At 44.1% G+C, this 27,467-nt stretch overlaps 1 protein-coding gene, 1 long non-coding RNA gene and 1 other non-coding gene across 33 annotated transcripts in view, besides 7 other annotated features; 1 reads left to right on the top strand and 2 right to left on the bottom strand.

Moving 5' to 3' along the window:
* Positions 1–2,600: 2,600 nt before the first annotated feature.
* On the bottom strand, positions 2,601–2,688 carry LOC124903423 (small nucleolar RNA U83B). The gene has a single exon (XR_007064405.1). It is a non-coding gene; the product is annotated as a small nucleolar RNA U83B (small nucleolar RNA).
* Positions 15,810–16,259: a silencer, noted in NCBI's record as "silent region_5732". NCBI's record gives its function as "represses an Ori minimal core promoter by ATAC-STARR-seq in GM12878 lymphoblastoid cells {active_cell/tissue: GM12878}" and the evidence as "EXISTENCE:reporter gene assay evidence [ECO:0000049][PMID:35858748]".
* The window catches only part of NIN (ninein), a 111,741-nt gene continuing 100,083 nt past the window's right edge, over positions 15,810–27,467 (top strand). For 26 of the 31 annotated variants that reach the window (XM_047431442.1, XM_047431432.1, XM_047431445.1 and 23 more), the window contains exons 1-3: positions 16,151–16,307; positions 16,796–16,849; positions 25,236–25,439. In XM_047431442.1, the coding sequence (XP_047287398.1) occupies positions 25,257–25,439 (183 nt within the window). In that variant the 5' untranslated portion in view covers positions 16,151–16,307; positions 16,796–16,849; positions 25,236–25,256. Of the gene's footprint in view, positions 15,856–16,150; positions 16,308–16,795; positions 16,850–25,235; positions 25,440–27,467 lie in introns of those variants that run through there. The other 5 variants (XM_047431439.1, XM_047431453.1, XM_047431438.1 and 2 more) reach the window with 2 other exon arrangements.
* Positions 16,310–16,589: a silencer, noted in NCBI's record as "silent region_5731". NCBI's record gives its function as "represses an Ori minimal core promoter by ATAC-STARR-seq in GM12878 lymphoblastoid cells {active_cell/tissue: GM12878}" and the evidence as "EXISTENCE:reporter gene assay evidence [ECO:0000049][PMID:35858748]".
* Positions 16,660–16,709: a silencer, noted in NCBI's record as "silent region_5730". NCBI's record gives its function as "represses an Ori minimal core promoter by ATAC-STARR-seq in GM12878 lymphoblastoid cells {active_cell/tissue: GM12878}" and the evidence as "EXISTENCE:reporter gene assay evidence [ECO:0000049][PMID:35858748]".
* Positions 16,730–16,849: a silencer, noted in NCBI's record as "silent region_5729". NCBI's record gives its function as "represses an Ori minimal core promoter by ATAC-STARR-seq in GM12878 lymphoblastoid cells {active_cell/tissue: GM12878}" and the evidence as "EXISTENCE:reporter gene assay evidence [ECO:0000049][PMID:35858748]".
* Positions 17,420–17,469: an enhancer, noted in NCBI's record as "active region_8370". NCBI's record gives its function as "activates an Ori minimal core promoter by ATAC-STARR-seq in GM12878 lymphoblastoid cells {active_cell/tissue: GM12878}" and the evidence as "EXISTENCE:reporter gene assay evidence [ECO:0000049][PMID:35858748]".
* On the bottom strand, positions 23,804–25,516 carry LOC105370489 (uncharacterized). The gene is made up of 2 exons (NR_135258.1): positions 25,362–25,516; positions 23,804–24,131 (listed from the first exon to the last, which is right to left on the bottom strand). It is a non-coding gene; the product is annotated as an uncharacterized LOC105370489 (long non-coding RNA).
* Positions 24,938–24,997: a silencer, noted in NCBI's record as "silent region_5728". NCBI's record gives its function as "represses an Ori minimal core promoter by ATAC-STARR-seq in GM12878 lymphoblastoid cells {active_cell/tissue: GM12878}" and the evidence as "EXISTENCE:reporter gene assay evidence [ECO:0000049][PMID:35858748]".
* Positions 25,458–25,507: an enhancer, noted in NCBI's record as "active region_8369". NCBI's record gives its function as "activates an Ori minimal core promoter by ATAC-STARR-seq in GM12878 lymphoblastoid cells {active_cell/tissue: GM12878}" and the evidence as "EXISTENCE:reporter gene assay evidence [ECO:0000049][PMID:35858748]".

The following is a 27,467-nucleotide window of genomic DNA, read 5'->3' as shown; positions in this document are numbered from 1 at the left end:
GTCGCCCAGGCTGGAGTGCGGTGGCACGATCTCTGCTCATTGCAACCTCCATCTCCTGGATTCAAGAGATTCTCCTGCCTCAGACTCCCAAGTAGCTGGGACTACAGGTGCTCTTCACCATGCCCAGCTAATTTTTTCTTTTTTTTTCTTTTTTTTTTTTTTTCATATGGAGTCTCACCCTGTCACCCAGGCTACAGTGCAATGGTGCAATCTTGACTCACTGCAACCTCCCGGGTTCAAGCGATTCCCCTGCCTCAGCATCCCGAGTAGCTGGGATTACAGGAGCGCGACACAATGTCCAGCTAATTTTTTGTATTTTTAGTAGAGACGGGGTTTCGCCATGTTGGCCAGGCTGGTTTTGAACTCCTGACCTTGTGATCCAACTGCCTTGACCTCCCAAAATGCTGGGACTGCAGGCATGAGCCACCGCACCTGGCCTACCCTTTTTAAATCACAGTTGGTCCAAATGGCTTACCCAGCCATCCGTTCCAGGGCACCAAGTGCATCTCAGTCACTGCTGTGTCTGCAAAGCCCAGAAGTAACTCTCCAGCTAACTGTTCCCAGGCCTTATGATTCATACCCTCCTACAGGCTCCTAGAGAAATTCTTTTCATACTTGTGCATGACTCTTTGCATGCCCAAGACTTCTGCACCTCTGAGGGTCTACTCCGTAAACCTCCAGCAGCCCCAGTAACATGGAGTCGACAGTAATCAGGGCCCAGCTCAATACTGGGACTTTTACATGATTCATTTACTTAACTGTTCGCCACTCTCAGAGAACAGAACTATTAGTAGCATCAGCCTATGGCTGAGGAAAACAGTTCATAGACATGTTTTGCAAATTGTGAGACAACACCCAGCTAGGATTCAAGTCAGGTGGAGCTCAATGAGACTGTTAACTTCTGGCCCCACAGAGAACTGTTTCTCCAAGAACTGCTGCCCCAAGAACAACCCTCTCCCCGCTTGGTTAATCATCAGAGTTAGAACACAACTCTGGAGCCAAATTGCCTGGAGTGGAATCCGAGTGTCACTACATTTTAGTCGCATTACCTCGGGCAAGCTATTTAATATTTCTGTGCCTCTGTTTCCTCATCCATAAAAGAGAGATAATCATAATGCCAGCCTCATTATAGGTGAGGACTAAGGGAATTACTATATGCAAGGTGTTTAGAATAAAACCTGGTATACAACAAGTGCTATATAAATATTAGCTATCTATCTCATCATCATCATTCTCTTGTCCCAACGACTGACACATCACCCTCATTTAATATTTGTGCACGTGATCACTAAGCCATTACCAAAAGCCCCTAGGTAGGTGTCCGTTGAGTGGGTTGTAAAGGTAATGCATAGAAAGGTCATTATATTAAAAAAAAAAAAAAGTTAGTGGGGCAAAGTGATGAGGTGACTGTCAGAGATACTGAAGAGACACTTAATAAGTTGTGATTAATTTACTCTGAATAATGCATTGAAGTGAAGCCATTTTCAAAGCATAATTTGGATTAAATTACTTACTGTTCCAAGGCTCATTTCACTAACCAGGAAGTGTATGGCGTGGGTAGAGATGAGTCTGTCCTTTCCAATATCTGTTCAGTCGTTGACATATACTGCTCCCAATCAGTTTCCTGGCAACTCAGGGTTAAGGTCCTGCATCTCAAGCTCTTGCCTTCACTTCATTGTTTTTAGTACTACAAATTTTAGGATGTCTCCTAGTCAATATAGACTGCATTTATCTGTGATAACAAGAACAACACATTTCAGCAGCAACAATGATCAAGTTTATTTCTTGTCCATTCCACTTGTCCGTTGTGGGAGGGACAAGAAAGCCCTGCTTATCATAGTCATAGAGAAACAAGGCTAAAGGAGATTCCACCTCAGCATGCTTCCCCGATCACAGGGTCAGGGGAAAGGAAGCACGTCAAACCACATATTGACTCTTGAAGCTTTTACCTGGAAATGGCCCATCACACTACTCATGTTTTATTGGTCAGAACAAGTCACATGGCCAGGCCTGGGCTTAAAAGGGAGAGTATGTACAATCTTCCTGCAGGGAAGTGCCCCAAATATTTGGAGACAATAATACAGGCTTCTGTAGGAAAGATTTGACTGAAAGCAAAAAACCCATCTAAAAGTGGCTTAAATAATTGAGGGGTTATTTTCTCACACAACAAAAAGTCTGGAGGTGGATCAAGGCCCAAGGAGGTAAATTTGGCATCTCAAAGATGCCTTCAGGGATGCACTTTACTTCCATCTTTCTACTTTACCATCCTTAAGATGCCGGCAATATCTCCCTTCATAGTTCCAAGATGGTTGCAGCAGTGCCGGGCATCACGGGTAGACCAGCGATATCCAGAGAAGGGTAGTAGCGTTTCCTCCATTAGTCTCATATTGTTTTGTTTTGTTTTTTTTTTGTTTTTAATTTAAAAATTAGGCCAGGAGTGGTGGCTCATGCCCATAATTCCAGCACTTTGGGAGGCCGAGGTGGGAGGATGGCTGGAGCCCAGGATTCAAGGCTGCAGTGAGCTGTGATAGTGCCACTGCACTGCAGCCTGGGCAACAGAGTGAGACCATGTCTCTAAAATAAATAAATAAATAAATAAATAAGTAAAAATAAAATACATTAATATTTCCACAGTCTGATTCAGGCACTGTGTCCAGCACTTATTCCAGGGTCTCATCCCAAAACTCATCACAGTTAATCACGTGACTCATCACAAAACTACTCTTGCAGTTTTGAGAAAATCCTTCTCAGAACCCCAGCTTACTTCCTTTTGGGTCCCATTAGCTGCAATGAAATCATATGTCCATGACTTAGCCAGTCATTGGCAAAAGGAATAAGACTACCTTGACTACCTTCTGGGGTAAGAAAAGACCTGTATTCCCTTTGTAGGAGCAACTCTGTTTTCTATAAGAAATATGGCGCTGAGCATAAGAATCAGGCAAATGTAACCTTATTTCACCAATTATGGGAAGGTCCTTTTTTCAGAGTGTAAATAAAGAGGGACCACAATGTCCATTAGTGAAAAGCCTTCATTTGTGCTTACGTAATTAATTTACAGTGGAACAATTATGGACAAATAAAGCAGTCAAAACAGGCATTTAATAGGGAAGGATCATTTACCAAAGGGTCAGGGAAATAAGAAACTACTTTGGGTTGATATTACATCCGTCTCAAAAGAGTTGACCAAAAGAATTCACCACTCCCTTCTCTGTGGCCCCCTGACTAGAGTCTACATTCTTCATCATTTCACCCATCACACTTACCATGCTTTATTGCCTTTATCTGTGTACCTGTCTGTCTCCACCTGCAAGACTGTAAGCTCCTTGAAAATATAATCTGTTTCATCTTTTTATTCCTGTGCATAATATAAAACAGTAGTGGCTAAAATCAATTGATAACTCACTGTGTCCAAGAGCCCATTCTAAATTCTAAATGAATTGACTCTTTAATATTCACAACATCCTATGAGGCATGTGTTATTATTAAGTATGTTTTATAAATGAAGAGATGGAAAGTCAACAAGTCCTTGACCAAACGTACATAACTATTAAGTGGGAGAGTTGGATTTCAGATGAAGGCAGCCTAATTGGGTTATGTTTAGGACATTTGCCCAACAAATGGGTGAACCCAATATGCTTTAATATACAATAGGAAGGGGAGAGAGAGAACAAGGGTGAAGAAAAAGTGATAATCTTTTATTTACACATAGAATCTGAAATCAAGTATGATAGACTTACATTCTATGAGAGTAGAGATCGTGTATGTTTAACTTGTTTAGTGTGGTATCTCTAGCTTCCAGTACAGTCCCTGGCACACAGTATGTATTCAATCATTCCTGGAAGTAGGAGAGGAAGGGAGAGACAGGGGGAAGGATGAAAGAAAGAAGGGCAGCAAGAAGTGATTGAACGAATAAACACAAGCAATGACCTCTTTCTCTTGCTTTCTATTTCTCTTACCTTCTCTTCCTCCATTATTTTCATGCATAACTTGACTTCTTAAATCTACCTCTTGCCTAGGATAGGAGGAAGTGGTAGAGGCTCTAAGCATTAAGTGTTCTCAAAGAGAATTTAAATGTAACATTGTTACAGAGTAGCAAGTCCTCTCTGCTGCCCTAATTCATTTGGCTTTTGAAACAATGTGTCTTGTATGAAGTAGACTTTTCCTCAAACTAAAACATTTTTTAACAATTTGGACTTGTGCTTTTTCTTCTAATTGTGTGCTGCTTAAAATGTCAAGGCAAGGCAGGGATGCCAATTCTCACATGGGCAAATTGATTTTTGTAAAAATCAGTGCAGGCTGGGTGCGGTGGTTCATGCCTGTAATCTCAGCACTTTGGGAGGCCAAGGCGGGCAGATCACTTGAGGTCAGGAGTTCAAGACCAGCCTGGCCAAAATGGTGAAACCCTGTCTCTACTACAAATACAAAAATTAGCCAGGCATGGTGGTGCACGCCTGTAACCCCAGCTACTCAGGAGGCTGAGGCAGGAGAATCACTTGAACCCGGGAGGCGGAGGTTGCAGTGAGCTGAGATTGTGCCACTGCACTCCAGCCTGGGTGACAGAGACTCTGTCTCAAAAAATAAAAATAAAAATAAAAGACTGTCTCAAAAAGAAGAAAGAAAAATCAATGCAGAGCCATAGCCATAAGCAAATGAACAGAAATAATTAAAGGCTGGGAAATGACCACTGTCCATTGATGGGACTATTACTCCAAAGCCCCTCTACAAAAACTGGTCACATTACACAGATAATAGTCTGTAAACACTAAAAGCACTATTTTTTCTTCTTGATTTCAGCACTATTGTCATAGGACTCTGCTTTCAAAGATGGCTTCAAACAGCCATACAGATTTAACATTTTAGATTCAATCCTTAGACCGTAGAGACTCCTCACTCTACTTTCAATAAGCAAAGTACAATCATGATGAAACTGAAGCATTGGATTCGGAATTCTAAGTGTTCCTATTCTTATAGGATGTCCAGGTTTCTGTTGTTAATTTCGTCGTTTTGATTCCTGTCTAGAAAGCTTTTTTTTTTTTTTTTTTTTTTTTTTGAGACGGAGTCTCACTCTGTCACCCAGGCTGGAGTGCAGTGGCGCAATCTCGGCTGACTGCAAGCTCCACCTTCCGGGTTCACGCCATTCTCCTGCCTCAGCCTCCCGAGTAGCTGGGACTATAGGTGCCCACCACTGTGCCCGGCTAATTTTTTTGTATTTTTAGTAGAGACGGGGTTTCACCATGTTAGCCAGGATGGTCTCGATCTCCTGACCTCGTGATCCGCCTGCCTTGGCCTCCCAAAGTGCTAGGATTACAGTCGTGAGCCACCGTGCCCGGCCTTAGAAAGCTAATTTTTAAAAGGATCTTTTTGTTCTAATGTTTTTTTTAAGAGTCAGCATCTCATTTTGTCACCCAGGCTGGAGTGCAGTGGCACAGTTCTGCTCACTGCAGCCTCAACCTCCCAGACTCACAGGATCCTCCCACCTCAGCCTCCCAAGTAGCTGGGACCACAGGTGTGCACCACCACACCTGGCTTTTTTTTTTTCCTGTAGAGATGAGGTCTCACTACGTTGCTCAGGCTGGACTCAAACTCCTGGCTTAAGCAATCCTCCTGCCTCAGCCTCCCAAAGTGCTGGGATTACAGGCCTGAGCCACTGTGCCCAGGCTTTTGTTCTACAATTGAACAAGAACTTCATGAGTATCCAAATATTCTGACTTTTTTTGTTTGTTCTTCATTCTCAGATTACTTTGATTCCATTCAAATGTATTTGAGTCATTGGGGATTTTTTTTTTTTTTTTTCAAAAATGAATTCATTGACTTTTCTTCAGCCTGACTTTCTCCTCCTGTCTTCTCTCTTGGTTGATGGCACCATTATCCACTGTGATCCAGACCAACACCTCAGCCACATTTGACTTCTCACGTTATTGCCTCATATATCCGGTTAGCTGCCAAGTACAATTGTTCAATCTCTGGAGCTGCCATTTTCTTTTCATTCTCATGTCAAGGACTCTAAGTCAGGCCTTCATCATCCCCTCTTAGAATATTGCAATGACCCTCAAACTGGCTTCCACTATTTGTCTCTTATTCTCCAACACATCTTTTGTATATTCTCCATCTTTTGTATTTTTGTTCAATTATTTTCCCAAAAGATTTATCATATTTCTCCCCTGCTCAAAAACCTACAATGGCTTACTATTGCCATTTTTTTAGATTTTAAAAGTCAAACTCTTTAATGGCATTGAAGACTCTTCTTCAGTTCATCCCAACCAACTCTAGCAACCTCATCTCCTATCACTCGTCATCATTACCTTGATTATTCCTTCATAAACGTATTTTCCCCCAGATTTATCATGACATTTCTTAATTCTATCTGTCTGGCAAATTCCAAATTACGTCTCAAGGCCTTGCTCAAATGCTCTCTCCTTTTACGTAAACTTCCTTGTTCTCCAGGCAGAACTAATCCCTCCTTTCTGTGCTCCCATAGCATTCTGTTCAGATTCCTATTGTGCCCCTTATTGGGTTCCCAGAAGCAGTTCATGAGAGGAGGATTTGTAGGGAAGGGTTTTGTTAAGGGAATGCTCCCCAAAGAGTCTGGCAAGTGAATGAGGGAAGTAAGACAGGGAAGAGAAAGAGACCAAGCAAGGGTGAGAAATTTGGTGAAAGTCCCAAGGCGAGTAGCCCAGCTCAATTCCATAGGGGAACTCTGGACATTAATTGATGTCCTTCTCTAAGACAAGGGAGCTGAGCTTGCTTTCTCCCACACTGAGCAGTCACTAGCTAGAGATTCAGTTCCCAAGCACTTCTTGCTCTCTGCATGCATTTGTACACAGCAGCCCAAGGGCAGCCACCAAAAGAGAGTCGCAGGTGCAGGCCAATGGCAGCAAAAGCACTTCAGAGTGGATGGAAGAACACACAGAAATGGTAAAAGACATCCCAGAGTACCTGGGAGGAGGCTGACGATGTCAGCTATGCTTCTTAGTATAGTCTGCCTTGTATCCACCTAATCATGCACTGTCATCCCCTGCCTCCAGCCAGTGGATGCTGAAGTACTTAAGAGCAAAGACTGCATCTTAGTCATCCTCATGTCCCTACAGCAGGCAGGATATCACTTTGCACCTGGAAATTGCTTAAATAGGATTTATTGATTCAAATGGAATATTCCTTGTGCAACATTTTGCTTCTACTAATCGTTTTGCAGGATTTTTTTTCCCTAGCTGGTTTTAGGTCAACGACAATAAAACGTGAATTCTGGAGATTCAAAACCTCAAATCTTCAACTTTTCACCTCGCACTTTTATTCCTGGGACAAAAACTTGCTCAGCACATCTCTTCCTAAATTCCAAGACAGGCTGCTTGTTCTGTTCAGTCAAGAATGCCAACCCAAGAAACATTTTTGAAAGATCACAGTCAACGTCATTGCCAAAAGAAGAAGCTCTTGGCACACAAAGAACCTGGTTCAATATGAGATGCCAGATGGTGATTTCAACTTCAGCTAAATTCCTGCTGAGAAGTATTTGAACTGCAGATGAGAAAATCTTCTGTGACAAATTTCCAAGTGTTAGAAGCTTCAGAGGAAAATGGCAAGTGTTGATACCCTCTCTCCCCGCAACCACCACCACCAACCACATGCACACATACCATGGAACATACCTGCATCTGGTAGCTAAGATTCCAACAGATGCCTCTGCCTTTTAAAAAGCCTATGGACCCTGATTTGATTTTTACTAAAAGTATATTAACTGAGTCCATTGGAAGCAAATACCATTTGATTAATATGCAGTGCTTTTTCAAAGGGTGCGTTCCCTTAGCATCGGAGATAACTCTTTCCTGTCTTCCAATAATTCTGTTGTTAATTGATAATTAATTGATAGTCAACTGATACTCAGTGTATCTCCCCTCCCTAGATACTTTCAAATTCCAGGAGATACATGTGAGGCATAAATTGATGGTGCTCTGCCTGGATGACCTTGAATCTCTTTTGCTGGTTCTGTGTGCCCACACCCCAGCTTCAGTGTATTTTGCTTTCTAATGATTAGCTTCTGCAACTATCTTCAGAGGGTTGCCCTTGAACTACTGAATTTCACCTGTTTGCACAGAGAACTGAAAGTGCCTGGGAGCTTACTGTGGCCCTGAGATGCCCACAGCCAATGAGTCACTGGTACAGGAAATTGAAAGCCCAGCTCCCCCGAATCAAGTCTGGGAAAATTCTGAGGTGTAATATATGCTCCAGAGCTCCAGTCAGCAATAGGCTGAGACTGGGACTCTGCCTGAATAACACTTGCACTTGGCTTTTTCCCTCCTTCTTTCCCTGTGTTGCTCCTGCCTCCCCACATACCCCCTTGGAGGTCTCTCCTGTAACACATCTTTCATATAACTCATGTACAAATTCTCGTCTTGGGATCTGCTTCTGGGAAACTGACCTGTGATGATTCTGGGCAATGGAAAAGTTCGAGTATCCTGCTAATAAAGAAAACAGAAATTCTTTCTAGAACAAGGAACATATGCGTGCCTACTTTATCAATCAAAGTCTCAGAAGGAAATAGTGGATAAAGTCAAAGTAGGTATTTGGAGAAAGAGTAGTAATAAAGGGACTATTTCCAAAGGTGTGGACTGGGTTCAGAGAGACAAGGATAAGTGCCCACCTGGAAGCTAGGACCAGGATGTGCCATTGCCAACTCTAGGCCTCACTGGTAAAAGGAGAGTGTGGCTTTGCAAGCTGGTGACAGAAATGTGTGGAGAGGCTGTGAGACAGGAGCTGTGACTTTACAGGTTGCAGCCAGCCTGCAGAGACCCTGCAAGGAGTTAGCACCAACCTTATGCTCCATCTTGCCTCCAATCTTGTCAGCGCTACCCCATCAGCTGAACATAATGGGAACTAGGGCTTGAGGGAGCCTGTTAATGTAGTACATCTAGGGTTAGCCTCTTGGGGCACACAGCAGGTGGAGAAGAGTAGGGAGAGGATCTGAAGGGACAAACAGAAGCTTTCCAGCAGCACACTTGCCTACCTATCTTACACACACACAGTTTGGCTGGTTCTTGATCTTGACCTGTGACCAGATACACCTAAATAAACACTACTTTTCTCTCTGCTGACCTTGTCTCCTTCTATATTATTTGTTTGCACATTGAGGGACCCAGAGATAGGCTGCATGATGTGTGAGAAGGGGACATCAAAAATCAAGTGACAAAATACATTTTTATTTAAGTCTGAGTATGGCATTTGGGTATCAGGATAGCCCCAGCACTTCAGCCTCTAAGACATTTTATGTAGAGTGAAACATGACTCACAGAGCCCACTGCCATAAGATTTATCATCACTTTGACTTTATATTTTAGTACAAAGAGGTCTAAACTACGTCTTTAGAGAATTATACCCATTCTCTCACAGTTGACAACAAATGCAAATCAAAGATCTTTATGTTGCTTTTTGTAATGCCCTATCTAATCGTTTTCTCATCAGTCCAGGTGCAAAGATGTCCTCATTATTCAGTTTACTCCCAAATGTTCTCATTATTGAAAGCAATGCTCTCTTCCTAGTGGGCTCATTTTCTGTTTTTGAAATGGTCACTTTTCTTGGATTTTGGCTTTGGCTTGATTCAGAATATAAAGCACTACAAAGTGTGTAGAGTGGAAAAAAAAGGTCACTCAGTTATTTTAAGGCCTTTGATACTAATCATGGCAGACAGCTTGGGTCCTTGGGATGCTGGCAGGAGCTGATGTGGGTGGGATGGAGGATGGAGGACGGAGAAGCACTCCTTCCACGCATTCCTGGAGGACGGGCAAGGCCCAGCAGCTACTGCCTTCTTGGCCTCCAACCCTCCCTCTGCTGGTACCCTTCAGATGCCAATACAGCTGAGTCAAAAACGGGTGGGGTGTGCTTTAACAAACGGCCTACGGGGTTGTCATTTCTAAGTATTAAAATAGTATATACTGGGGCCAGGTGCGGTGGCTCACGCCTGTAATCTCAGCACTTTTGGAGGTTGGGGTGGGCGGATCACTTGAGGTCGAGTTTGAGACCAGTCTGGCCAACATGGTGAAACCCTGTCTGTACCTAAAAATACAAAAATTATGGGAGGCTGAGGCAGGAGAATCGCTTGAACGCAGGAGGCAGAGGTTGCGGTGAGACAAGATTGCGCCATTGCATTCCAGCCCGGGCAATAAGAGTGAAACTCCGTCTCAACAACAACAACAACAACAACGACAATTAGCTGGGCGAGGTAGTCCCAGCTACTTTGGAGGCTGAGGCAGGAGAATCGCTTGAAACTGGGAGGCGGAGGTTGCAGTGAGCCGAGATTGCACTGCTGCACTCCAGCCTAGGCAACAGAATGAGATTCTGTTTCAAAAAAAAAAAAAAGAAAGAAAGAAAGATAAAGAAAGAAGAAAAGAAACAAAGAAAGAAAGGGAAAAAAGAAAACAAAATAGTATATATTGGGCTATTTTCTTTAGAAATTGTATGTCTAACCATATTTTGAGGGGCCAATGACTTAGAGGATGGTGATTGTTTAAAAATGTTAGTAAACACTGGGTTTCATTCCATGGCAGCTGTCTGAGTCAGCCATGAGCCCTCTCAGTAGGCGAGTGCTGAGGTGGACAGGTCAGGCCTAAGGCTGTCATGCATCCACTGTGTGATCCTGAGCGGGGCAGCAGACCTTCCTGAACACAGCTTTCCTTTAACCATAATGGAGTTGGGCTGGACAGATTCCGAATCCTCTTCTTGTTCTGACACTGCGTTTGTGGCAGCCAGTAGCCCCGTGTGGCTGGTCTGAACTGAGATGTGCTGCAAGTGCCAAGCACACACCAGGTTTCAAAGGCTTAGAACAAAAACAAATGTAAAATATCCCATTACTACTTTTTATGTTGATTACATGTTGAAGTGATCATATTTTGGGGTATATTGGGTTACATAAAATCTAAAAATTAATTTTACATGTTTCTTAAATGTGGCTGCTAGAAAATTTTGAACTACATGTGTGGCTCACATTATATTTCTACTGAACAGAAATGTTTTAAAATGTATGGTTCTGGGTTGCCATTTCTTTTGTGTGCACATCAAACTCTAGAGAATTCAAAGTAGTCTTGCTTGGGGAAAAATGTTTAATTTTCCATTCAAAACTATTCTAACAAAAAAGTAAAGATTTCATGTCATATTTGTTAAGTGTTTAAGAGCGTATGAGGGAGGGGCCAGGCGTGGTGGTTCACTCCTGTAATCCCAGCACTTTGGGAGGCCGACATGGGCTGATCAGCTGAGGTCAGGAGTTCAAGACCAACCTAGCCAACATGGCGAAACCCCATCTCTACTAAAAATACAAAAATTAGCTGTGTGTGGTGGCGTGTGCTTGTAATCCCAGCTACTTGGTAGGCTGAGGCAGGAGAATTGCTCGAACCTGGGAGGCAGAGGTTGCAGTGGAGGAGCTGAGATTATGCCACCACTGCTCTCCCGCCTGGGTGACAGAGTAAGACTCCACCCCCAAAAATGAAAAAAATAAATAAAAATAAAATTTAAAAGAAGAGTGAATGAGGGTGCAAACGCCAATGTTTCTTAAAGTAACATTTCATTTCCTCCCCCCTTCAAATGAAGCTACAGTGGCAGTCCTTTGGCACTTGCAGTCTTTAAAACAGTAGACCATTGCCAGCATCCAGCCACATGAAAAGGGATAATTCCAAAAGTAAAGATCAACCCCCCACCCACCCATCCCATGTATACATATGCAACATCTCTTCTCCACGTGAATGCCAAGTATTTGGAAAGTACCTAAGTGCTCAGCCCATGGGATCCAAAAGACACATGTGCAATAACCACTTCCTGCTATGCTTCAGTTGCTGCGCCAAACAATGAACAGAGAGACAAGGCATTCAATACACATGAGGACTGATGATCTGGGCTGAAAGAGCAGCAGAGGGAAGATTAGAAGGTCCACATGAGCAGAGTGGAGGGAGGGTAGGTTTCCTGCAGACACTGAGGATACATACCTTTGCATTGATCAGGAAGGACCTTGAATGTCAGGAAAAAGATCTAGGACCTGAAGTGAAAAGCAATGGTCAGAATGATCAAATGGAAGCCACGTTTTAGGGAAATCATTGCTCTCTTCTTCCCATGCTGTAGCGTGTGTATGTCCCCCAACTGGAGAATGTAATTAGAGTCCAATGCCACCTAACATCACTCCTTTACTGTCTCATGAGTGCATATTTTTACCTTCCCAAAAGAGAATGATGCATTCCTCAAGGGTAAGAACCAAGGTTGATTGTTACTTCATTTTGTTTTGTTTGAGACAGGTTCTCACTCTGTCACCAGGCTAAAGTGCAGTGGTGTAATCGTTGTTCACTGCAGCCTTGACCTCCTGGGCTCAATCGATGCTCCTATGTCAGTCTCCTGAGAAGTTGGGACCAGAGGCACGTGCTACCCAGCCTGGCTAATAAAAAAAGAGGAGTAGAGAAGGGGGGTCTCACTGTGTTGCCCAGGCTGGTCTTGAACTCCTGAGCTCAAGCCATCCACCCACCTTAGCCCCCAGAAATGTTGGGATTACAGGTGTGAGCCACCATGCCCAGCCTGATGTTTATTTTGAACATTGTGTGACTTTCAGGACAGTATTAGGCACAGGGTAGGCAATCAATGCTTACTTTAAAAAAATAAATTGTATGGAATCCTGGTTTCCTCTTCTTTCATTTTCTTCATAAGGAAAATGAATAGAGAATCCTAATTTCTAATAGGTGTCCCCCAGGGGCAAAAGTGTAAATCAGTTTGCCTTCTGTCACCTTCCCTTCCCTTTCCTATACTTTTCCTCTTTCTTCCTGGGTTCTTAACCACCAACATTTTGCTGCTGGAACTCTTAAGTCCCTGACTTGTATGTCTGGAACTCAAATTTCTCCCTTTTTCCTTTCCTCATTCATTTTCCTTAGGGCCTTGGGGAGATCATTGATGTCCCTTTCTTTCACCGAGTGAGTTCCTGGGCCAAACTATAACTGATCATCTACTTTAACAATCTGGCTGTCTTTGACACAGCTCTGCAACTTGCCTGAAAACTGTCCTGCTGAGTTCAAATGGTCACAGAAATAAGAAAGATATCGATTAAAGAAGTTTAGAAGGAGCCAGGAGTTGCTACATGAGTGACAGGCTGTTTGACTATTCTGTGAATAAAAAATAGTTTATACCCAACTGTGAGTTGGGAGAGGGTAGACTATGTTTGGTTAGAGCCTTTTTTTGGCTAAGAAAAAAAAAAATAACTTTTCAGGTTCCAGGAAATTTACAAAGCCTGACTTTTTCTCTCTCTTTTTCTCTCTCTCTCTCATTTGTCGTCTTGACTCTAAACTGATAATTTCAAAATTACTTCAAGAAGAAACAAAGAGTAGGCCAGGCGTGGTGGCTCACGCCTGTAATCCCAGCACTTTGGGAGGCCGAGGCAGGATCACTTGAGGTCAGGAATTCAAGACCAGCTTGACCAACATGGTGAAACCTTGTCTCTACTAAAAATTCAAAAATTAGCCAGATGTGGTTGTGCACATCTGTAATCCCAGCTACTTGGGAGGATGAGTCAGAAGAATCGCTTGAACGCAGGAGGCCAGGAGGTGGAGGTTTCAGTGAGACAAGATTGCACCACTGCACTCCAGCCTGGGCGACACAGTAAGACTCCATCTCAAAAAATAAATAAATAAATAAATAAAAAGAAAGAAAAGAAACAAAGAGTAACTTTCTCTTCCCTGGATTATTCTTTAGTTAACGTTTTAGAGCTTTAACCATCTGAGAAAGCCAGTTCCGTACTGTGAAATATGGCAGAAAACCCTTCAAAAACTTCACGTACAAATACTTCAAGGATCCTAGGTCCTTGAACAAGGTTCTTTGTAAAGTGAGAGTAAAAATCAGAGTCAGATAAGCTGCAACAGATAAGAGTGAAGTTTTGTTTGTAAAGGGTGATAACTCTGAATAAATATTTACATTTCTTCTTTTCTCTCTTATATTGGTTATAATGTAGAACTGGAGCCTGGTTGCTACTTCTGCTGTTATTTTGTGTTTAACAGAGAAAAGATCAAGTAATGGGCTCTAAAGGAAGTCTCTGCTTTTTTTTCCCATGACTCCAGTTTGGACTAAGACTAACCATGTGCTCAGTGCAAACCAAACTGCAGGCCCATTGTGTTAAATAAATCATCTTTCTTGGTAGAGTTGCTCTTGCCAACCCACACCACGCGGTAACCATGCTCCATGCTTTCCCTCCTTTGTAGCAAGGCTGGAGGTGATCCCAGTTCCCAGTCCCAGGGCTAACTCCACCCCACTTACTCCTCTCAAGAAAGCGCATCTTGTGTTTTTCAAATTACACAACCCCCAGCAATTCTGATCTTCCTGCACAGGGAGTGAATGCCACTTCCAATATCCCCTGACCCCCAGGAATCACTGTTTTAAACTAATGATCAATATCATCCTTAAGGATTCTTGCAGGTTAAAAAGCGATGCTTGGAGAGGTAACCAGTAGGATGAGGCTTCCATGGCAGAGATTAGGTGAAACAAGAAAGACACCTCTTCATTCTTACCTTCCAAGACTGTTGGCTGTTTTAGTGCCCAGTGAGCATTATTGTCTGTCTTACAAGATGACCTCTATGTAAGTATTCTGGTAACAGGTTAGCTATCCTCTTAATGAACTGCGTGTGTGTGTGTGTGTGTTGTATCATATTACTGGATGACTGAACAACCATGCATACAGTGTATGAGTGTGTGTTTGTGTGTGTATGTGTACTTATTCAAGACTGTTTAAAAAGGAGAGAGGAGCATAAATCTCTCTTATTCTGCAGGCACGCTTATATACCGTGTTGAAAGAAGAGAGCCTGGGCTTTTGAATAAGACTGAGATGTTTAAAATTTTTAAAAAAATTTTTTGAGGTAACTGTAAATTCGCTTGAAGTTGTAAGGAATAATAGAGAGATTCCCTATAGACGCTTCACTTAATTTTTCTCAATGGTAACATTTTGCATAACTGTAGAACAATATTACAATCAGTAAATGGACATTAGTGTAGTCCAAATGTCTTATTCAAATTTCATGAGTTTCACGTGCTCTCATTTGTGAGTGTATATTCAGTTCTATGCAATTTTGCCACATATGTGATCTGCTTTTGAATCTCAGTTCTGTGGAGTTCCTGCTGTGTGATCCTGAGGAAGCTCTTTGACTTCTGGGAGATCCATTTTCCTCATCTGCAAAATAATGTCTGCCTCCTAAGAGTGATGTGAGAATTAGATAAGATAATTTCTGTCGAGTTTCTAGCGCACTGGATTCTCAAGGAATGCTGGTTTCCTCTTGTCTGTTGCTTGCTTTCTCGGTAGAAAAGGAATCACCAGTTTCCTGCTAAAATAACCAGACTTGTGGGTTGTAATCCATCAGGCGGATCCTTCAAGGGCAACACATTTAACCCTGCAGCTCAAAAAGAACCATGGCCTGGACTTGGGATCCTATTTGACTGCAATGAGATCAGAAGTGTAGGGATGGGGGAGTGAGAACGCAGACTCTGGGGTAGTAGGTAGGAGGCGATTAATATCGAGCAACTGTTGGGCTGGGAACCACCAACTCCAAGGAGTTTTCGTCCTGTGTGGCTTGCGACCGAGGGTTAGCTTCACCCGGAGAAGGCTGCACAGGGGCGGGAGCCTGTGAGGACGTGGTGGGCAGGTGCGGAAGCCAGTGTAGACCCGGCAGGAGGGTCGCGCTCGCTCTACAGGGTTCCGAGTCACTTCTACAGCCCTTCTGCCTCCTGAACACCCTTTCCAATGTTGATGGCCAATCGACACCCGAGGGCTGGGAAATCACCCCCTTAAAGTCCCGCTTGCTGAAGGCGGGGGCCCTTCCTCTGCGCGAAGACGCTGCGGCCCGAGTGTCCGCGGTGCGGGTGAGTGTAGGCGTGTTGGGAAAGAAAGGGAGGCGGACAGGCAAGGGGCGAGGGTGGCAGCGCCAGCCCCAGCTCGGTGGCGACCTCGGGGCGCCAGCCTCCTACACCCGCACCCGGAGCCCCGGCGTTTCTAACTTCAGATCTCGGAGGCGGGCGCTCGGAGCGGGAGGGCGCGTCTGCGAGGGCTCAGGCGGCGCCGCCCGCTCCTCCCTCCGCTGCCTGAGCCGCGCGGGCCGCAGAGGAGGAGCCGCGCCGGGGCCGGCGTCGCCCTGACTCCTCCTCCCCGCGCGGGCCCGGCCCTTCCTCCCCGGCGTCCAGAGCTCCGGGTGGCCGCGGCCGAGCCGGGAGCCGAGCGCGCTGGGCGCGGCCGTCCCGCTGCCGCCGCCAAGCCCGGAGTGCGCCAGCGGCCATGGTTCCCGCGGCGGCGCCGGGCGCCTGAGCCCCGGGACGCAGTAAGTGGCGCAACCCCGGGGACCCGGACCCACGGCCTGGGGGTGCACGGAGGCCTCGCGCTGCCCCCGCGCCGTCGGCGAGGCCCTGAGAGCCCGGAGCGAACTGGGCACCGGATCACTCGGGGGCTTCCCATTTGGGGTCCGGGGCCAGCGGGGCGCAATCCCTGCGGGCCGGGAGGAAGCAGCGGCCGGGCGGGAGGACGAGGCGGGGACGGGGCTGCTTCGGAGGCGGGAGGAGGGGCCGGTCCCGGAGGCGCGGGCTGCGCGGGCGGGGGCGGGCCGGCGGGGGCGGGGAGGATGCGCGCTGCAGCCCGCGGCCCCCGAGAGCCGCGCTTTTGTAAGAGCTGGCCCCTTACATATGGAAATGACGCTCACGCGGGTCCCCATTCGCGTCCTTTTGAAGGACGCCCGCCCGGAACCGCTGCGCCGGCTGCGAAGTATTGTCCCGTTTCTCCAGCCCTAACAAAGCGTCCTCCTTCGCTTTGCAGAGCGCTGGAGGCGGGCTGCCGGCTGTGCGGGCGCTCCGGAGAGACCGACAGAAGGTAGGCGAGGGCGGCGGGGCCGGGGGAGCGCGCTGCCTGCCCACACAATGGGCTGTCTGAGGTTTCTGGTAGTGGCGATGGGCAGGCGAGTTGAGGACGCATCGCAGGTGGCCAGGGACTTGGGAGGCGCGCTTGTCCTGCGGCCGCACCTCCGCTTCCCCGCGCGGCAGCACCGCTGGGTTTGGGCACTTCCAGTACCCCCGACGCCCCGGCCGCCTGCCCGGAGCTGAAAGCCGCTTCTGTGCTTTGACCGAGAGCAGGCTTGAGTCCCCGAGGGAGCAGAAGGGGTGGTGGTTCCGTTGGCATGTGCCGCCCGTACAGCCTTGTGATTGAGACGCTGCAGAGGAAACTGCATGGGGAAATCCGAGGTGTTAGCCTGGGCTGTCTGAGTAGCGGAGAGCTGCTTGGAGCCCGGAAAGTGGAGATTTTTGGAGGTGTGCGGGGTCGATGCGCGTAAACAGTTTCCCAGTATAATGCCCAGGAGAAGGGGAAAGAACAAAATGACATTTGGTTATTGCCTAAAAGGTGTGGCATGGAGGTATGGAGTGTCGGGGAAGGAAGCTTCCAGCGGCTAGGCTTCTGTAGCTACCGAAGCGGCCCCTGACAGAAGGACACTAGGTGATGGGAACAGTCACTGCTTCCAGCTCTCGCTGCGAAGTTAAAAGAGATAGAGACGGAAAGAGGCAATTTCCCTAACCCCAGCCCTGACAACCCGAGGTGAAGGCACCAACAAAATGGGAGCTGGAAAGACTGCCCTACCATATATCATGTTTCCAGACAACTTGGATATTATGAGATCTGCTTTCTGCTCCTAACTAGGACAGATCCTCTCCTGGTGTTGAGGACTTCTAAGATGGGCTTGCCATACAGCTCAACTCCTGAATTTATTACATCGAAACAGATTGCGTAGTTGTCTTTTGTGACTGACATGGTAGCTTTGTAGGATGAGAATCCTGATAAAGTCCATCCTGACACATGAGGGAAGCCCCTGGAACCACGACGTTTCTCAGTTAGGTCCCCGTAAACACCATAACATACACACATGTTTGCATGATTCCGGAGGCTTGATGATCTAACAAGGAAAATTCCTTTTTTCTGTCAGTTTAATTTTACCTTGAGTCTTCTCTCGTGGTGAGCATATTATATAGGTGGCTGACCTGGAATATTGGTGGCTCTTGCTCCGGAGTTGAAGGGAGCTGAGGATTTCCAGAGTGTGTATAGGAGGAACATTACAGGCTGGCTGAAAAACGAGTTTGTGTGTTGTGGTCTCTTCAGCTATTGTCAGTGTCCTTTGGGAGGTGATGTGAACTGCCCGGGAATTTGTTTGCAGATTTGTTTATTTTCCCTGTTCTCTGGTGATTCTTTAGAGGGAAGCATTCTGCAGAGTGGGGAAAAGGTAGGATGAATGTTCCACAGGGTTGGACATCGGCAAAGTTATTACCAATACAGGGAAAGGCTTCACAGGGGGCAATAGAGAGGAAGCCATCATACAGTCTGCATTAAAATGTCAAGGATCAGTCATTTTAATAGGCACTTGCTCAGAATGGCGTGGGGTTCTTTTTTCTTATTTCTTTTTCATTTTAGATGTGTAATGACCCTTAATATCAAAAGATGTTAACTGTCACAGAGGGGGAGAATAGGGCTCCAGTGAATTCTGAACAGCCAATCTTAATGTAATAGGCAGTATTCTTATCATGAGTCAAATGTTCAAATAAATTGTTTTAAATGTCACTGCAAATGACTTTCTAAACTAACATTTCAACTATCTTGATGCTTCCATTTTATGTTGATAATGAAAATGCATTTTATCAGTCTTACATTGATAAAGGGTGGGCAAGCTTAGCCAGAGCATTTTAGAAGGATTTAAACAGCGTGAAGCCTTTTTAGAAGGCTTATTTTTATAGATGCCAATTCATTTGTAAGCCAATAAATTATCTGGTTTGAATTCTAGCTATTGAACTTGCATCTGTTGGGCAGGGGCTTATGGAGAGACTTAGTGAAGCTTGCAAAAAGATTTTTATCCTATTTATGAATAAAATAGAATTTTGAAAAGATTATGAGATTCTGAAAGTGAGCATCCTTGTTTGAAATTAGGACACTTCTTTATTGCAATTTAAGTCAGCAATTAACCATTTATTCAAGCTTTTGGATGGAAAAATTACAAAGCATCTATCTATACCCTAATTCTCACTTTAAAAACAAAGTTGGGAAAATATTGTTCATAGACGTGAGAAGAGAAGATCACCTTCACTTACACCTCAGGGTACCATACTCATAGCCTCAGGCATCCTAAATTAATGTGAGTCAATATGGCTTAAGAAGTGGAAGTTGTTATAAGCTTTCTCCTTTTTTTTTTTTTTTGTAACAAACATGCAGCTCTGTTTTCTGCTTCTGTAATTTACTTAGTAGTTGATTACAGGTTACTGAATGCACATTGTGCCAGGCTAATGGCGTTTTTTTGTTGTTGTGTTTTTTGTTTTTTGTTTTTTTTTTCCTGTAGCTAACCTGAGTTAACTACTTGATTGGGTAATCTACCAGTTATTAGGTTGAACAAAAGCATGGGTTTATTACATCCTTCAGGATAGTAAAATAATAAAGGTTGCTTACATTTTCGAATAAACGCTGATAGGATTCCCTTAGTTAAATATTATAGTGTAGTTGACAAAGGTTGTTATTTTTCTTTTTCTTTCTTTTTTTTTTTTTTTTTGATACGGAGTCTCTCGCTCTCTCCTGGGCTGGAGTGCAATGGCATGATCTCGGCACACTGCAACCTCTGCCTCCCAGGTTCAAGCAACACTTCTGCCTCAGCCTCCCGAGTAGCTGGGATTACAGGTGTGCGCCACCACACCTAGCTATTTTTTTTTTTTTTTTTGTATTTTTAGTAGAGACAGGGTTTCAACGTGTTAGCCAGGATGGCCCCGATCTCCTGACCTTGTGATCCACCTGCCTCAGCCTCCCAAAGTGCTATGATTACAGGCATGAGCCCCCGCTCCCAGCCATTTTTTCAAATGTATTTAATGTGACTTTCTTCCTGTGCATTTAAGCTTTCGTGTTATATTTTTGTATCATGATTTCATTCACAGTGATATTGTTGTGCTTTTGGTATCCAGCTAGAAGTGAGACACTGAGCAGAGAGGAGGCATTCTGACAGTAATCAGTTTGCTGCTAAGCAGCACTGGTTTTTGGCGGAAGTATTCTCCTATATAAACTCGTAAATGGCTGCAACTGCTTTTTCTATTGAGCTTTTACTAAACTTGAATTTATCCTTGTCACTCTTTCCTTTTATACTGAAAGTAGTCCAATATGGTGAGCCTGAAAATCTGTGCAGCCAATTAAAGTATTTGCAGAAAAGAAAGAAGAAAAAGAGCACTTTAATTTGATCATTGGCGTTATTAGGCTCCGACTTGCCAAATGGTGAAAGCTAAAGGCATAAATGGAGAGCTTTGCCCAAGTGGGGTTTGTCGGTGTTCATCACGTCAGCTGTAGAGTAAGTAAATGAGTCACTGGTGGTCACTGCCTAGTCTGTGGACCCCCAACAGCTATGTCTGCACACAGGTCCAAAAGCATCTATTATGATGCCCTCTCAAGGAAAGCAGCTGAGCCGAGAGGGGCATGCAGACATTCCGCAGAGCTCTTCAGCTGCTGAACCATCTGGATGCGAAATAAAAGGCCTGGGCTAGGGGCTCTAGCATTGTGCATATTTATTACTTGGTTTTCACTTGCCAGACTTTGTCCCCTTTTCACTCGCCAGACTTTGTCCCTTTTTCACTCCCTCTGGCCCAGAACAGACGTCCCCTTTAGCTGGGGTGTCATTGTTACAAGCTCCTTTCTGTACCTTGGTTGAACACTGAAAAGTTCATAAATCCACATGTCCACTCATGATTCTAGCCACACCTCCACCTATTTAGTTTGCAGTCCTATTTGGCACTGTGATTTCATCAGCTGGGGTAATGAACACCACTGTCAGAGTCGGCAGCATTTTGGCAGCCTTATTTTGAGTTATTTGGAAGGAAAATGCTCAGAATAATTGTCATTATGGGTGGTTATTGAGTGGTAAATGTTTTGATTAATGGTTCTGTGCATCTGCTTCTTATTTAACCATCCCCAGTTAGAACTCCAAAATATTGCCCATACTGGTTCTTTCATTCCGAAAGAGTCATAAAGCCTTCTGACAATTTGACTGGAAAGGTAGATGGTGAGGAGAGGCCCAGGTTTATTATGGCAGGCTTCGTAACACTGGAGCTCTTCTTTGCAATTTGAAGTAGAATTTCTCGCTCAAAATGTAACTTTCTTAATCTCTGAGTAAGACTCCTGCCTCTGGTGGGTACCAGTTAGGATCTGACCCTGAAAAGCACTGGATTGCACAGATTATACATACTTAAGTGTTTATTCAGGGGAAGTCATTTACGAATTACCAATTCCTGGGCAATGCCCATTATTGAAGACATGGGACACTTCATGATCATTTTTATATAAGAATTTCTTTCTTTCATGCCCTAAATCCCAAAGCTGCTTTAGAAAAAAAAGGGAATGTGTATTCTATCTGTATATCCCTGGTGCCTTGTAGGCTATAATTATTCAATAAATGGATCAAGGGAGGTAGGAAGGAAGGAACTCTGCTTCTCAATTCCAATTTGGAAAAGTTTGTGGCCATGGAGTGTTGTGTGGGGATTTCTACTGCTTAGTACTGTTCAACTGGCTAACACATAAAGGTGGAGATAAGTGGTTTGCCAATGGCATCATTTCAGAGGTCTCATTCATGTGTTCTGTGTGCATGTGTAGGATTGAGGGATAATATAATTCAGTGTCACACTAGAGTGCAAATCTTGGCTCCACCCCCATTTTGTTCAAGGAGATTAATGCTGTCTCCTTGGACAGTGGCTTAATTTTGCCAAGCCCCAATTTCTACATCTTGCGTGGGAAAATGAGAAGATCCACTTCTAAGATTTGGGAGGATTAAATGAGATGATATACATAAAGTACTTAGTTTAGGCCAGACTCATAGTAAATGTTCAGAAGTAATTCCCAGTTACAGTGCAGCTTTCTGCTTTTATTTGACATTAAATTTATCAATAACCTGCTTTTAAAGATAGAGGAAGCTCTGAACATTACCTGCTGCCATTATCATTTAGTTATATAATGATGTTTATATACATAGTACACTCCCTGCCCATTCTCAGTCTGTTCTATAGCATTTCACATCTCCTGCTTTGCTTCTTTGGAGGTAGATCTGTAGATAATTCACTTGTTACCTCCTCTTCAGTTTACCACTCCTTTGTAGCTGCAGGTATTCTTTTGGTTATCTTAAATTCCCTCTTGTATCAGCTTTCTCTGGAATTAGCCACTCTCGCTTGCTTGCCACATTTAACTCTCAGAACAAACCTTCCAGATGGATATTGTTATTCTCATGCTGTAATCGAGGGGACTTGAGAAAGGTTTTAGTATAGATTCTCCTCCAAAGTTTCATCCCATAGCAAGACAATGCAGTCGAAGTTTGTGAATCCATTTACTTAATTACTAGCCTATTGAATTAAACTTCAGACAGCGCTGCATGTTACAGATTGGCAGTTGGTGTTGGCTTTCTACTTCTTGCTTAGGAGGCTGAAAATGCCTTTGAGAAAGGGTGGGATGGGGGAAGTGGAGGTGTGTAGGTGGATGAGATGGGCATTCCAAAATTTTCATATGCCCATTTCTGTAGACCTCATTTAGGGTACGTTTCCTCTCAAGGAGTGATCCATACAGGAAGTCAATCCATGATATTTACCAAATCCCTGGCTTGAAGAACAGACTGACTGTAGTATGCATTTGGGGGAAGATATAAAAGAAATAGGAGCGTGGATCTTACCATTAAAGAACTTTCTGCCAAGTGGGGAGAAAAAAATTCTTGCACATGAAATTACTGATGAACATTTGGGAAATAATATCAACCAGTAAAAATGCCTTCTGTGCCAGATGAGCACTGACAACTTGTCACCATGCGTAACATCTCCTGGATGTTTCAGCGTGAGCATTTGTTCCACAGGGGTGGTGCTTGTCTCCCCTTCAGTCAAGCACAGTGTTTTGAGAAGGAAGGAGATGAAATAAAGAGATAAAGAAAAGAAAGCTGCCATAAAATGAAAGAGGTTTGATTTAGTGAAAATCCAATGACCTCCCAAAGAGTGGGGCATGATAGTATATCAAATTCGACACCGTGGATAAGATCAGGGCTTCTCAGTACATCAGTGTTTTATTCCTCTCTTTCATTGGTTTAAGATGGACAAATCCCCGCCCCTTAAAAATAATTTTTAAAAAGGGAAGTGTTAGAATTCTTTCGCTTTTGAGTTTTTAAACATATATGCAAAATCAAGCAAAAGAAGAGTCTTGCTTTTATGAGGTCGGTCAGATAACAGCCCAGGGGACTGTAAAACTCAGAGTGAGACTAAGAGCTACCGCAACACTGAAAATCCTGGAGCACCTTGGGGATTCTCAGCAGATCTTAGTTGACAATTAACTGGTGGACTCTAAGTGAATCTTGTTAGCGAAGTGTTGGCCTTGTCTAAATTCTTAACTCCTGTGGCTTTGCATAACAACTTGGTGTTTCTTTTCTGAGGCTTTGATGTTTATATAACACTCTCAACTTATTTTGAAAACATTTACATAGTGATTAGTTAACCCAACAGACCAATCCTGGGAAGACAGCCAGAGCCTGCAGCACCTTAGTAACAGAAAAACTGATAATTAGGAGAAGAGACCTGTCCAAGACCAGGAACCTGGACCAAAATTGTGCCATGTTGCTTTACTTTAATGAGTGGCCCCAGTAAAAACTGAGCTGTATGGCAGAGCTGTTCACATTTATCTTCTGTGTCCACCCAGTTCTGCTGAAACCCCTGGCAAGATCGTGGCCCTGTTGTAGCTTGTCATGTTTTGAACAGCTGTCTATGGAAAGAAAGCAAACACAACCTAGAGCAACATTGATTTGTTTTAGAAAGCTCTTTTATTTTCAGTTCTGGCTGTGTTCAACATCTTAGCTTACGTTTTTCATGTTGTAATGATCTGCCGTATGGACGATCACCTCTAAGTTAGAGAGTTCTGTAATTTGGCTTGGATTAAAGATGCTTGGTTAGTGAAAGCTGCTGCTTTTTTTATAGTCAAAGGACTGGTTCTGAGAGCCTTGTTGCAGATGGCTGAGGTCACCGTCCCAAGGGTGTATGTCGTGTTTGGCATCCATTGCATCATGGCGAAGGCATCTTCAGATGTGCAGGTTTCAGGCTTTCATCGGAAAATCCAGCACGTTAAAAATGAACTGTCATGCAAGGAAAAAAAAAAAACCACAGATTTCATTAGTAAAATACGAGCTACCTGGAATTTTATGATGTATATTTTTAACAAAAATGACTCAGTTATTGACGTCTCCAAGTTTTTACTGATCCTAAGGACAGTGGCAAAATGGAAAGCCTGGAGTATGGGTAGGTGAGAGAGACGGAACACAGGTTAACCAGGCATAAAGAGATGAGATGCTTTAGTGAGTGGAGGTTCCCTGAGATGCTGTATGATTCATATAAACCAGTCAGTGGCTCCTTTAAACCTCACTGTCTGAAAGGTTGAAATAGTGTCTTCCCCTTTCTCTAGGCAACTAAGCATTACCTAAAACTCGCTGGGACTAAAGCAAGCTTCTGGGAATATTCTTCCCGTCACACCTCATGTAATTGCACCAGTGAAGTTAATTGAGTTGCTTTTTGAGGAACTCGTGTAAAAGGCATTTAGTTTCATGTAAAACAGGGAGGTGGTTTTGTAGCAGACGTCGTGTTCATTTAGTGCCTCTTGCTGCAGCCCTCCAGTCTAGCTATGATGGGGGCCATCTAAGCTGAATGAAGTAGAACGAATCAGCTTGGCCACGCTGACCGATTGCACCATCGGGGCAGGTTGTCTAAAGCTTGCCAGCTAGCATGGAAGCTCTGACCATGCAGTCTGCTGGCGCTAACAATTAGTTCACTTGAATAGTCTTGCTGTCAAAGTGGCTTTTCACCTTCTTAAAATCCTGGGCTAGAAGAGCTGGGAGAGAACCACCTTCAGCCTTGAGTTTGGCAGTCTGGCTGTCCGCCTGAGAACCAGGCAAGAGAGGAGGGTGTCTTCTACTGTACGTGACCCTCTCATTCTGGTAATTTTGCTCCCAGTGTGATCTGAGCTTATGTATATGCCCCTGATGTGAGTGCATGCAGGAGTGTCACTGGCCAGGGCTGGTCCTACAGAGACTGGGGGTCTTGCTGTGGGGTGCATCAGAAACTGGGTGTTCCCGAGCATTCCCTAGAGACTGGTGGGGTACAGAGAACGGGAATGTGCCAGGTGGTGACCACGGTAGGACTGGAGAGGCTGCCACAACCTGTCCTTGTCTCTGTCTTACACACAGGTGAGCACTGTGGGCTATGGGATGGATGAGGTGGAGCAGGACCAGCATGAGGCCCGACTCAAGGAGCTGTTTGACAGTTTTGACACGACGGGCACAGGGTCCCTGGGGCAGGAGGAACTCACCGACCTTTGCCACATGTTGAGCTTGGAGGAGGTGGCCCCAGTGCTGCAGCAGACATTACTTCAGGACAACCTCTTGGGCAGGGTAAGGTCTGGGGAAGAACGTGGCTATGGGAAGTGGGGTGCGGTTTCTGCCGGGGTGCTGGGGGTGGGGCGGACCACACATGTTGCAACTTGTTTCTAGCATCCTGGCTGTTACATGATAAAAAGAAGAATGTAATGGGTGTGACATCACAGTCCAGTTTGCTAGGGTGACAAGAGCCTGCTTTAATTTGTGCTCTGGAATTATGGTGTACAGTGAGCATCTTAGATAAAGAGGCAATGAAAGGATGTTTTCCAACTTTTTTCTTGTTCTTTGTGGTTTATTTTATTGACTCCACATTCATCACTGGGACAGAAAGGAGGAGGGTGAGATTTCCATTGAAGAGAAAGAAAATGCAGTAAGAAAGCTATTGTTATGACTTTTACTCCCAGTGAAGCTATTTCTTGTGTGGATTATTTCTGGGTGAAGTATTAATTAAACTTTCTACCCAGGAAATAAGACAGCAGGGTAAATAAATACAGTGCAGGTTCATTTAAAACCCAGCACGGCTTGCTTCCAGCAGGGATGTGTGTGTGCACGCCAATGTTAACCTCTGTGTTTGATGACAAATAGTCATGTTATTACCATAGATCAAGTCACAGATGTGAGTAAGAAGTGAGAGAGGGTCTTTTTTTCCTCTTGCCAATGGTGGATATTTGATCTGCCATGACCTGAGATTGCCTTCAATTCTCCTCATTATAATTAATAGCTTTTATTATTTGCCTTATTTATAATTAATAGCTATTTATAATCAATAGGTTTATATGGCTTTGAGTCAAGTCTCTTGCTGTTGGATTTTGGAATGATGAGAGAAAAAGATGGACAACACTTTTTGCAGTCTGTTGCTTCATTCTGGTTTTTATCACGTATAAATTGAGGAAGCAGTTGTGAGGCTTAACTTTATTCTAGTGACTGAGCTTCCTTTTCTTCATTTCATTTTCACTGTCTTTTAGCTGACAAGAGAGGTAAGTGACTTCAGATATAGTACCATGTATTGGCTTTCTGTAACCTGAGACAGACAGGAGTAGCCATCATCCTGAAATTCATGTGCAAAAGATGATATTCTCAGGCACTTGGCACATGAGTGTGATGTTAAATGGGACTCACACTTGAAAAAAATATGTGACTTCTTTGCAAAAACTGGAGCCATTCTTGGCCTCTTGTGGCGGGGGGAGGGTTAGCTGTCTCTACATACATGTGGTCCCCATAAAATGCTAAAAATCTTGCTTTAATAATCTTAAAATGAAGCTTCGAAGATTGAACCATTTGCTCCTCATGCACTCACATATTTTCCAGTTCCGCCTCAGTCTTAGACTCTGTGGGTAGCAAAAAAACTGGCATCTCCCAGTATGGTCCTTGGGGATCTCAGTACTTTTGGTGTCTAAAGGATAGTATCAATGGGCTGATCTGTTTTAATGCTCATTAAAGTCTGAAAAGGCATGATACAACTAAGGTTTCCTTGAGTGGTTTTCTTAGAGTCTGCGTAAATATGGAATGCCACGCCGTAAACAGACTGCACCTTGGCAGCAGGTCAATGCTTTGCTCTCCAGATGTTGCACATCTTTGCCCTCATTTGGTAGACTCAAACAGGGAGCAGTTATTGATTGATTTGTTAACGACTTGACACTACCAGCCTGCTTCTGACGCTTGCTATTTGCCTGAATAATGAATACTTAAGTGGTCTATAGTGTGATATTTACTTAGTGAGCCAGTGATAAAAGTTAAATAGATGGATGCATATTGATTTCATGTGGGAGGTCCCTGGTGATAGTCCTGAGAGTGGGGGGGTTGGCATGAGTTAATGCACTACTGTTAAATTTGCATTTTTTAATGAAACCAAATTATTCTCCTCAGATGATCACACAGACTTGGCCATATGCTATTAAGATACTCTATATGGTCCATAATTTTAAATTATAAGAAAAAATGCCATAGGATTCACTGGAGCCATCCAAGTGTTATCATTTTCATGATGCATACAGTAGGGATTATAGTTGTAAAATTATAAGTGGTTTTTACTGCCAGTCATCT

Source organism: Homo sapiens, chromosome 14 (assembly GCF_000001405.40).
Source record: "Homo sapiens chromosome 14, GRCh38.p14 Primary Assembly".
NCBI classification, from domain to species: domain Eukaryota; kingdom Metazoa; phylum Chordata; class Mammalia; order Primates; family Hominidae; genus Homo; species Homo sapiens.
Note: the sequence above shows the minus strand (reverse complement) of the source record. Positions and strands in the feature narration are given on the sequence as shown.